This window comes from Homo sapiens, chromosome 12, assembly GCF_000001405.40.
Source record: "Homo sapiens chromosome 12, GRCh38.p14 Primary Assembly".
NCBI lineage: Eukaryota > Metazoa > Chordata > Mammalia > Primates > Hominidae > Homo > Homo sapiens.
In genome coordinates this window covers 97,460,129-97,472,145 of record NC_000012.12, presented here as the reverse complement: position 1 = coordinate 97,472,145, position 12,017 = coordinate 97,460,129, and the positions used below count along the sequence as shown (strand labels likewise).

The 12,017-nt window shown below is 36.7% G+C and overlaps 1 long non-coding RNA gene across 52 annotated transcripts in view, besides 2 other annotated features; it reads right to left on the bottom strand.

Annotated features, from left to right (window-relative positions):
- RMST (rhabdomyosarcoma 2 associated transcript) overlaps positions 1-9,342 on the bottom strand; it is a 102,232-nt gene extending 92,890 nt beyond the window's left edge. For 14 of the 52 annotated variants that reach the window (NR_186087.1, NR_186057.1, NR_186053.1 and 11 more), the window contains exons 1-3: positions 9,274-9,342; positions 8,857-8,994; positions 6,419-6,478 (exon numbers count right to left, since the gene is read on the bottom strand). This is a non-coding gene — a long non-coding RNA (rhabdomyosarcoma 2 associated transcript). Of the gene's footprint in view, positions 1-6,418; positions 7,054-7,074; positions 7,456-8,856 lie in introns of those variants that run through there. The other 38 variants (NR_186068.1, NR_186072.1, NR_186074.1 and 35 more) reach the window with 5 other exon arrangements.
- Positions 6,298-7,121: an enhancer, noted in NCBI's record as "OCT4-NANOG-H3K27ac-H3K4me1 hESC enhancer chr12:97858803-97859626 (GRCh37/hg19 assembly coordinates)". NCBI's record gives its function as "activates a minimal SCP1, AML or CMV promoter by ChIP-STARR-seq in naive and primed H9 embryonic stem cells {active_cell/tissue: H9 hESC(naive and primed)}" and the evidence as "EXISTENCE:reporter gene assay evidence [ECO:0000049][PMID:30033119]".
- Positions 7,122-7,945: an enhancer, noted in NCBI's record as "OCT4-NANOG-H3K27ac-H3K4me1 hESC enhancer chr12:97857979-97858802 (GRCh37/hg19 assembly coordinates)". NCBI's record gives its function as "activates a minimal SCP1, AML or CMV promoter by ChIP-STARR-seq in naive and primed H9 embryonic stem cells {active_cell/tissue: H9 hESC(naive and primed)}" and the evidence as "EXISTENCE:reporter gene assay evidence [ECO:0000049][PMID:30033119]".
- Positions 9,343-12,017: the final 2,675 nt, after the last annotated feature.

Genomic DNA, 12,017 nt, shown 5'->3' with positions numbered 1-12,017 from the left:
AGCATCATCATACAACATGCCTAAAAATGGAATGGTATTATTCGTGCGTCACTTACAGCCTTTCACATATTAAGTCCACGGCCAACTAACAAAACAGAGGACTCCAGGAGCTTTTTAAAAAAATCTTTTGACCAAAGTGAGCTATGAATTTGGCATAAAATATCTCCTTTATGCTTGTAGGTTCAAATTAATATGCAATGTCCCCAAATTTGCATAATAAGAATTCAAGAGGAAGCCAAAGGATCTATCTTCACAGTGACAAAACAAGCCGTTAATATGGAGGAAAAAAAATCTTCAACCAACTCAACTGATGGCGACTGCATTGAGAAAAGTGGCTGATTAAATATTTCCCTTTCCAACTGCATGTTGTGCGTTCTTATGGCAAATCACAGAGGCTAAATATTGTTCTCCATTTGCTATTCTCATTGTGCACCCAGGTGGCAGTGAGATGCCAACAGTTACACACTGTAGCTAAGGGCCAAGGTTTATGCCTGAAATTAGTGTCAAAATGAAATCACCATAGAAAGTTAGGGTTAAAGGGGAGCCCAGCTCATCCTCTGCATTTTACCGACATCAACACAGCATGTGATAAGCATTTGGAGCACAGTTCATTTCTGGAACTCTCACGGGCTGTTCAGCTACTACTACTACAAGACAGACTGTGGAAATATCTCTTGTTTCTTAAAAGCAGGACAGCTCAAAGCCTCAGGGCCAAAGCTTTATGCTCACTTATCTCCACTAGCAGGTAGGAATTCCCAAAGAATGGGGCTGCTTCAGCAGGGTCCTCCCATATAAGTTAGAGGGTACACACAACCTGTTACAGTCACTGGTTTAAGAAGCAACTTTTCTAGCTTGCTTCACCCAGGAAAATTAACACACGCTACACATATATTATGCAAAAGTAATACCTCCTTGAAGGAAGCCCTATCTATATTTATATCTATCTACATTAATCTGACTCTTACAGCCAGTAAAACAGCCTTACAGCAGAGGTCAGATGTAGTACTTGATTTTTTTAAATATCCACCTGGATTTTCCTATGAAGTAAAATTTCTATCTTAATAACTTGGTTTGCGTGTTCATAAAAATGCAGACACGTATCTCTCTTAAGATTTCGAGGCTACACCTTTGCATATAATCAAGCAAAAATATAAATAAAATTAACCACAAGTACTGTTTATTGATAGAGGAGATTTGCACTAGGAGTTTGAATGTTGAATTCGGCTTTTATTGAAAATAAAAACCCAACATGAGGTATTAGCTAATAAAACTTTATGATGGTTAAGGAAATGGCTCTTTTTTGGGGAGTGGTGGGTGGTCAGCAACTTTTATGATACTGAAATATATCCCAGGAAACAGAAAAATAATCACTTAGAGTGTAAAACAACAAAATCAACTTAGAGTTAACAGCATTGTAGGCCTGAATTGTGATGGAAAACACACAAACACAACACAATTGCACTTTCCCTTAGAAACTCCAGAAAGTCCATTCTATATCAAATGTATTAATATAGATAAAAGTGACAATCTATTCCAGGAAGAATCAAAAATGTATTGCATATATTAATATATTCCTTAATGATATCTCTAACCCTAATATAAATATTTAAAGATCTTTAAAGGCCTTAGGTTATGATTTTAGGAGTATTATTTTCTCCTTCCCTGCAAGCTTTCCTCCATTGTCATTCTCTTCCTCCTCCCTCCCCTCCTCTCCTTTTTCCTGGCCTAAAACATGTATGAACTGCATACCCTATGCCAGGCACCGTGCTAGGCAGTGGAGGCTCTTACTTCCTAGTCTTCGGGTCCTATCTTTTTAATATTCTTCTCTTATTTCACTGCTGGGACCCTGAACTCTTAGCCAGTATGTCAGTTGGGCACACCTACAAACACAGACACGGTAAAAAATGTGGAGCATTATCTCGCTCAAATCATCTTAGTTGTTGCAACTGTCAGGTGTTAAATAATCAATGCAGATAAAAGAACTTGGGGATTTAATTTCTAAAACAGGCTTCCTGGGAGCCAACGGCTTTGACCCAGACATTGAAGGTTTGAGGGCTTTGAGAAGGCAGTGGCAAAATTATTTCAGGTGCAGGAATGAACAGAGAAAATGCAAGACAAATTTTGTGGGGGCAATGAGCAAATCAGCCTTACAGTGTAGACCATCCCTATTTAGAAATAGACAATGATACAGTTGGAAAGAAGGACTGAAGCCAAATGGTATGAGATCTAAAAAGGTTTGACATTTTAAAATTGTATCCTATTGGCTCTGGGGAATTCCTGAATGCAGAAGAAAATAACATAATAAAAGCCTCAAGGTAGTTGTGAGGTACCTGTATTCTAAGGACGTTGACTTGGGCAATAAAGTACAGGGCTTTAAAGCCTGTTCTATCCACTGCTTTATTCTGAACATCTTGAACAAGCCTAGGACATTACAGAGGCTCAATAATATGTGTTGAATAACAAGAAAAATTAATGGCACCTGAAGGACCTAGATTTTAAGTCATCTCAGCTGCTCGTTAGCTCTGTGACCCTGAAGAAGTTAACTTCTCGAAACCTCAGTTTCCTCATCTACAAACAAACGTAATGATGATACCATTCTCATAAAGTGACTGAGAAAATTAAATTAGAAAATGAAGGTAAAGGTCTTAGCACACTGTCTGGCATATAGAAAGTAAATGTTAGCCATTCATAATTAGAATTAGAAATCCCTTAAAATAATACAGGAAGCATTGGAAGGAAGCATAAAAACAGTAAAACCAATTTAGTGTCTGCTGCAGAGTGGGCCTGAATAATAAGGAAAATGGGATAAATTTAGACTTTCTAAATACATATCAATAAGATAACTTCTTGAAGCACATTCTGACTGTTTTACCAATATCTTCTTCTAAATTGTATATACTGTATACATTTATATATATTGTATACAATTATATATATAGTAAATGTGTATATATATACACACATACACACACACACACACACACACACACACACACACACACACTGGTTTCTCTTCAGATTGTATAAATCTTTCCCCTTTTACTAAATTGGTATATATGCCTAGAATATATATATCTTAAGCCATTTAAAGAGTAGAAAAGAGAAATATATGCTCCAAAATAATTTGGATTGCGATGTGTGATTCATGATGATGTATAAATCACTAGTAAGATTCCCATAATCTACAAAATCAGGAAAATATATTAAATACTGAACTAATGGTGACAAATCAAGAGCCACAAGAATAGTGTCTGGCACACGGTAGGCACTGAACCAACATTTGATGCATGAGTGAATGAATAAATGAATGCTTTCTAAATCCATATGGGAGGAGATTTTTAAAATAATTCATTTGACTTCCATGTTTCCAATTTCTAGCAAATTGAATTCTTCTTTAAATATTTTCTGGAAATTCTGCATGTTTTAGGATCTCTACGGTAAACTATATTAAAACACTTGAGATCGTGATAATTAACTACAAACCATATGTTCCTGACCACTGTGTGTTACCTTGTATCTCTCTAAGGAAACTACTAACCTACTAGTATACTTCAGTAACTGCATTTGAACTATGAACTCAATTGTCAGAAAAACACAGGAAATTCACAGACTTATAAATCACAAGAACACTGTGCTTAAATAATGTCAACTAACATAAAGGGCATGAATGAACAGCTTAGAGATATTAGTAAGGATGCAAAAAGGTTTTGTACAATATACAGTGTAGTATTATAGGATCATAAAGTCTAGCAACTTTAGAAGGATTCAGGGACGTAACGAGTCTATATAGCCCTTCTCTTGAAAAAGAGATTATAAACACCATTAAGCAAATACAATGTTCATATTTTAAAATCTGAATAAATTATTAGTGAGTCCTAGATTGTGTAATTAAGCTTTTTAGGATAACTTTTTTCTTAAATCATTCTGGTAGCATTTAAACAACAGCTATCCAACTGATAGTGAAACAAATGAAAATTTGCTGTTGGATCACAAAGATGATTAAATACAAAACCTGTAGATAAAGCTTTACCATGAATCCTTGCCAACAAGGTAGAACAGTAACTCAGAGTGATATTTTTACTAGCTATCTAAGAGGGCCCCTCCCTGGCAGTGCATTCTTTATAATAAATTTCCTAGATGATGCTCTGTTTTGTGGAAAATAAACCAAGATAGCTGAAAAAAAGATTTTATTGAATTACACAAATAACTGGCTACTACTAAGAAAATCCATATCCTAATATCAATCCCATGAACATACCAAAGCCAATTCAAATCTTTTAGCACTTCATACACAATTTCTAATGAACCAGGTTTTAGCCTTTCCCCCGCCTCTCCCAAATTCAGGCAAATGGGTCAGATAAATAGCATCAAATTCAATACAACTTTCTAGGTGACAGATAAGAATAATGGCACAGCACAAAGACAAAGGCAGAATTATAGTAGGCAGAAAGAAACTATAAGTAAGTATTATAATAGCTGGTCTGTAATAGTGGTATTTGAAAAGGAACATAATGACAAGAAGAAAGCAAACTTGGAGAAATGTAGTAAACATATCAGGAGAGGATAATGTAATCAGATGCCAGAGCTTAATTTTACTTCTCTAAAAAATTACACTAATGGTGTGTTAATTCAGCAATATTATATTCTGACTAATTATTTACTATAATCAAGTTAAATTGTATAAAAATTTGTCTAATTAGCATTTATAACAATGCAGTCTGGAAGCTATTGGCTTTGTGTAACTTGTACAGAAAAATTGATGTCAGGATTTCATTTTGACTTACATGAAAATTGATCTAATATGTCATAACTTTAGCTCCCAAAAGATATGATTCTTTAAAAGCTATGTGATTAACGTTACTTGTGTGTACATCTCCTGAAAGAATTGAGGTGCAAAGATGTTCCTGGTAACATTAGCGGTAATCTTATCACGTTTATATCTCTGCACTTACCTATTTAATAAAGAAGATAGCTATAACAACAGCATATTTACATGCACTTTTTATTTCTTAGTCCAATTTTAAATTTTAAAATATATATGACATCTGGCAAACAAAGTAAAACCAAGCAAAGTAAAATCACTCATAGTATTTACTCCTTGTTTCCTTCTTTTCTCAGCTTTCTCTGACTTGCATGCCTCTTTGGTTTTTCTCCTTAAACTACAAACTATCATATCAAATATTCTTCCCTTTAAGACACTCCTAATTCTCCTAAGGAAGTGTCAAATTAAAGTAGGCGCAATCTGGAAATACTCACTGTTTTATCTCAAGAGTTCAATGCAATTGCTTGAGCTGAGATAAATGCATGAAGACTTTTCTGAAATAACTTTTACATAAGGATAAAATGATTTCTATACAAGAAACAATTACCAGCCAACATTATTATCACCAGAAAATTGTAAGCTAGAATGAGCAATAAAAACATTGTATTTGGAACGAGATATTAGAGAACAGCTATTAAAACATTTTACTCAATTTCTATTACACCTTAAAATGAAAGTCATCAAAATGTCATTACAGGCCTTTTCCCCAGATTCTTCAGAGAGTGAATTTAATCATTTCAGGAAATTGAGCACTATCCACCATTCACTTAGATCCTTTGAAATAACAGCAAAGCAAAACACAATGTGAAATTTATAAGACACTTTATATTAAAATGTGTTCATATACATAATAGATACATACCGAGGAGTACTTGTCTCCAAATACCTAAAATTAAATCTTGGGAAATTAACCACTTATATAAAATATTACCTTCAAGAGGACTTGAAGTAAGAAACCCAAGTAAAGGAGCCACAAGTTGAGCTCTGTAAAACCCCAGAGTTAATAAAGCACTAACATATCAGGGCTTTTTTAATACCTTCAAAAATCAATTATTTGGAAATTACTTCAAGCCACAATGATTACTTGTACGCCGAAGCATGGAACTTTTGCTGCTGCTCTACTAAAGAAAGCTAAACATTGGTTGAATAAGTGCGATTACAATAATATAGGCATGCTTATTGGCTCCTTTAGAAAATTGGTACTTCGTAAAGAATTTTCAAGCCAGAAGAGACCTTTTGACATCACCTAACCCTGGTTCTTAATTTACTAGTTCTAGAAATAAAATCCACATAAAATAAATATTACTTTTATTGATCTCCAAAATGATCATTGTCTCTAAAGAAATAAAAAGCTGCTTATTTTCAAGGCTGAAGGGAAACAGAGGGAGCACCTGCTTGCATTTTATCACCAAAGCTAGCCAATCTTCAGAAAATGACTAACAATCAAATTCTCTAAGCTCTTCTCTTTAAACCTTTAATATTTTTAAAAAATCAAATTTTAAATAATTATAATTAGAGAGCAGTTTTCCAATGCTACTGGCAAGAAGTAGAGGAAACGGTTTGAAAATTGCACTTTTAAAAATGTTGAATTTTTACCTTTTGATTCGAGGAGGATGTCACTTCTCATGGAACCCATTTTCCTGAAGATATTCAGCGCTGGCCGATTTAGAATAAAACTATTAGCATATTACTTAAAAAAAAACTTTACTACAAAGCCACAATCTCACTCGAAAGAAAGCTGATGGTGCTCATAAGCAGTAAATGCCTTTCCTGATACCTATTTTGTCATCAGCATCTTATTAGCAGAGTGCATGTTTTCTGCAGCATCCATCAATTAGCCGTTTTTAAGGAAACGGGAAATGGATAAGGGCTCATCTGCTAAGCAAGGCTGTGTACTCCATAGCCTCTTAATCACCAAGGCTCCTTTCTAACAAGGTTCTACAAGACAAGGAAGCCTAGAGACCATTAAGTAGCACACAAACAGACTATTCCCGGGAGTCACCAATATTGGATACAACTTTCCCCCAAAGAACCAGCCTGCGACTGAAGGCGACAGAGCCGCCCGTAGCAGAGCCGCAGCACATCTGCCAGCTTGTGCCTTAGCGCTTGGCAATTGCAAAGCAGATCCCAATACCATCAGACAAACTACTCCTGACTTCTTACTCCCCCAGCAGAATCCAGGCATTTGGAGAGAGCCTGCCGGTTTCACAGGCACCCCAACTAGAGAGAAGGTAAGGAGATGGAAGGCTCACCCTTTCATAGTCAATCCACCTAGAGCTGCATCATCCGAATCACAAATGAAATGCTAATGTACAAGAAAATGAATGCCAATCTCCTCCACTTTGCTCCAAGTTTCAGTGGCCCCTCCACAATAAAAGATAGCTGTTTGTGGAGGCTGCCTTGTTCCATACCATTAACTCAGAACAAAACATATTTTTAGTGGGACAGCAGTGTTTACTTGTAAGAACTGATGAATTGCTCGGCACCATTTATCACTTGCAGACAAAGACGTTCAGCCACGATTTTGGACATAAATCAAGGTACATGCTCCTCAATAAGAAAAAAAGACTGCTAAGTCCCCAAAACCACGGAGATTGAGGTCAGACTGGCCATAGCAACCACCAACAGGACTTGGGCCTCCAGAAGGACCTAGCAACCGATAAATGAGTTCAGATCTCTTTTCATCTCCACTGGTGTGAAAGCCAAAATTAAAAAGATTAGATCACCCTGCACCCATTACAAAAGGTGCCACAATGAAAAAGTCATTTCCAGCCTTTGAATCACATCAAATAAATAACATTCATCCCTGCTATAATGAACAACTTTCAAAGTAAATTGAATCTCCATAGTACTGCTTTCCCTGGCTGAACAGTATTTACATAACAATATATCACAGGAAGCTCCGAATGGATCTTGTAAATGGGGACCTGGGGATAAAAACCATCTTTAGCCCCGATTACTGCATATTCAGACTGCTTTTCGGTCCCCCTCATTTAAACAATGTGTTGTATCAGGAACATAAACAATGCTTTTAAATTGTGGGAAATGAAAGTTTTTGGTACATTTTTAAATGTCTGGACTCATCCCAATAGACTCCCTTTTGTGGGGCACTAAGAACATAAAAATCACTTAACCTCCTAAATCGATGTCCTGGACTCATTTTTGTGACAAAGAATTCTCATCTATGTGTACACTTGCTTCTTTGTTCATGCCAGCAATGTTTCACTATAAATATCTGCTGAGTTTTTTTGTATTACTTGAAATGAAAACACATTTGCAGATTTCTTTTTAGCGTGCGACTCATTCATTATTTCTTATTTCCTCGAAAGTATAAGATATTCTCTATTGCCATAACAATGTCTATTAAGTTTTAGTAATATCTCTACACAAAGTGTTCATCCTCTACAGTCTAATTTTGAGTCAATTTCTCCTCATCATTAAAAAAAACCAACTAATTTCCAAAAACATATAGGCTTCCATAAACTATTGTACATTTCATATATATTTCAAATGGAGTATGTTCCAAATAAGACAGTTAAATCTATGTTGAAAACATACCATCATAATCTTATCTTTTTGTGACAGCTCACGTAGATATTACTATTTGAACTCCACAGGGAATCTCATTAATTTTTGAAACTCTCTGACCTCAGTACAGTTGAGTGTAAAAATAATTACAAATTAAGAATGAAAGAGCATCCCTTGAATTCTGCATGGCCATATGCTCTTCTACGTTGCACAAAACATTGCTAACTATCATCAAACAGAATTTTTTTCCAGATATAAATTTAAACAGCGTGCTGAATATCACCAGACAGACACAAAAAGCAGCTCACCCTTCCACTCAGCTCCGCTCACACTTCACCTCCGACGATTCCAGTAACACAAAGCCCGGAGAACACAGGTTTGCAGGCAAGTGACAGCACAGATGATACCCTCACAAAGATATTTCCCTATCCAGAGTTGCTTTCTATCCCAATGTTGCAGACACAAAGTGCAGAAATACAAGAATCAGGGCATAAATATTTTCTTACCTAAAACTTGTCCGAAGGACAGTCTTGTTATTGTTGTCACCTCCGGTGCCCCCTCTCGCCATCGCGGAAATCGGCTCCACTGTGTGTACTGCTCTGTGCCTCAGTTACAGCTGTGACACTCATCTGCCTGCATAGAACCTATGACGGGAAATGAGAGAAAGAGAAAGAGAGGATTTGCGCTTGTGTATGTGTGTGCTTGTGTGTGTGTGCGTCTCTGTGTGTGTGTGTTTCAGAGAGAGAGAGAGAGAGAGAGAGAGAGAGAGAGAGAGAGACTGCTGACTTGAGACTAAGAACCTAAAACCTCCGGCCAAGTCAAGCCTGAACAAATATGATCAAAGCCGTGTCCTTCTTCAAGAGAGTAGACAGATATTTTGTTCTCCTCCACTGAAAAGTGGGACTGTCATTGGGGATTCTCACCAGGAAAGTGCAGACAGCGGCAGACCTTCTCCAGAGTGCTAGTGCTGCCCAGCAGTCCGTGCAGAATACAGGTACCTATTGTTCCAGAGACAGATATGTAGCCAGCCAGTCAGACTCTGACAGATCTCAGCAAACCAGCGAGCCTGCCTTCATTTTAACTCCTTATTTACTAGTGCTTTTTGGTCAAATGCAAAGTCTTCTCATCACCCCTGAGAAATAAATGGAGATGATACAGATAAACTCACAGCAGAAACTAATCCTGTGTCTTTTACAAAGAGGGATTCTTGCTATTGAAATGCTGAATTTGATGCAAATGTCTTATTTTTTGGGGAAGAAATGAAGCATTAGATTACATGAGCAAGACTTAGCAAGTATAGGAAAACCTTGATATTCAAGATGAACAGTGCAGCCGATTTAAAAAGAGAGGAATAAGGGTTGCTCAAAACATCCCGAGTGTAAATATATATACTCCAACACAAACCGGGTGAATAAAGCCAAGGGGTCCCAACCTTTTGCAAAGGGGTGTGGCACATTGAAAACCTGCACAAAAAGCCACCCCAACAGACCTATTTCCCTAGAGGCTAGAGTCTTTGGTGTCTCTTTTTTAGATCCCACTGCTTTCTCAAGCACCCCAAAACACCTCCCACCCCCAGTACTGCACCAGTGTCTGAAATATATCTAAGGCAGTGAGACAAAATTAGGGAAGGTCAGAGAAAAATAACTTACTCTACATTCTCCCCGATGGATTCCGAAACCCAGAAGGTACATTTGATTCTTTAAATTCCTGGACCTTAGTAGATTACAGTAGGTTTCTCACTTTTATCTTTGTGTATTAATTGATTGATTTTCTTTTAAGGAGTGAAAGAAGACAAAATACCTTGCATTTGATTGTTTAGCAATACTAGAAGACAAGGAATAGAAAAACAAAAAGTAGCTTGTCATTTAGTTAAAATAAGAGATGGAACTCTCCTTCCCCAGAAGACTTAATATACAAGCTCTTTGAATTTTTTTTGAATACACATCGATTCTCATTAATCGCTACCATTCACCCAAGAAGCATATTCTGATATAGTAGGTGTGCTGCATAGTGTAGAAAATGGTTATGAAACTCCTTTGTAAAATCCACACTCAGGCATCACTTAACAAAGCCAGAGGGTAAATCCTCAGTGCAATAGGGGGAGGTTTAGCCATGCATGCCTGTTAATGGTAATGAGATGTGTAGAACATATCTGCGCACTGCCAAACAGCTTCTTCTAAATATCTAGCATTTGTATTCTTTATTTTTTAGAAAGAAACTAATAAGAGATTGCGTGACGTTTCAAAACTCCGCACACAAACAAAAAACAACCTAGAAAATACAGTTACCTCCTTTCATACTGTTTCTTGTCCTAATCCCAGCACTTTAAAAATATTTCAGGTCATGCTAATTTAGCTAGGACTGAGCAATTAATATAGGCTTTAGAAACTCTTTCCGAAGTCAAAATTGCTTAACTTGGTGACTTCTGAAAAAGCTGCCTTGTGGTTTCTACTCAGGGAGAGCTTCTATTATGTTCAGAAGGGAAAGGACGTCAAAAGACTGCCTGAATGACGAGAAAAGTATATGGGGTTTCTGACTATACTCATCATAACCTATAAGCCAAGAACAAAACAAGAGAATCTCGTAGCCTGCTTCTTCTAAGTGGCATGAACTGATTATTTTCAAGCCCATTTTAAAGAACATGTGTCTCTTTGTAAGGTCAAAGGACAACCTTATTTCACATTACTATCTTAACAGCAAAATAGCAGAAGCCCATTCAGTGAAAGAAAGTAGGATAGATTATAGGTAGGTACACATATAGAACAGAGCTGAATCACAGTGGAGGTGACAGCTTCCACGCAAGGCCCCGGTGACTGACTAATGTTGCAGTTTGAAAGAGGCATCTAAGCGCTCACTCCTAAGCATGTGATAAGACTTAGATGTAAGTACATTCAATTAGAGCATTACCCAGGACCCATCTAGATGTTATTACCTTTTATGATTTTTTTTTTCTTTTTGATCTCTCTATCCCACTTCTGTTGTCTTCAGAAAGCCAAGCTTGGTGAGCCAAACAAATTTTAAATATTCAGCTCTTAACATGTTTGAATACAGACAGTTCTCACAGTCAGGCTCCATTATTTTCTAGAGGTATATACAGAGGGTTATCACCATTAATGAGAGTCGTGGGCACATGAAAATAAAACACAGAGACACCATAAAGAGTGTGGATATGTGTGTGTGTGTGTGTGTGTATAAAGAAGTATCATACTTGTGCAAAATACATGTTTTATATGCTTCATGAGTATGCAAAAGCATCATTTCTTTCTCAATAAAATTTTTTGTGAAGTCCCTACTAAAATATCTGTCCCTAGAATACCCCTGAGGTCCATTATATAGCTCTGAGTTTATAATTCACACTTCAGTCCCTAATTTGCCAAATAATTCATGTCAAGCAAGAGTCCAACATGAAATGCCAACTGTTTCTTGAAAGAAAACAAACCATAACTGTTTCATGTGCTAGGATTTTAAGAAATAAACATTTGAGGATTAGAGGCACCACTCACTAATAGTAGTAAGGGGCAGGCTAATGCTTCTGAGAATCTATTGGGTATCTATCCCTTTTCATCCACATCACTTGATGTGAGCAACTTAAAATTAGGTTTCCCAGAAAAAAAAAATTGTGAAAGGAAAACAGAATCTCTTCTTTATATTACAGACTGTTCTGATT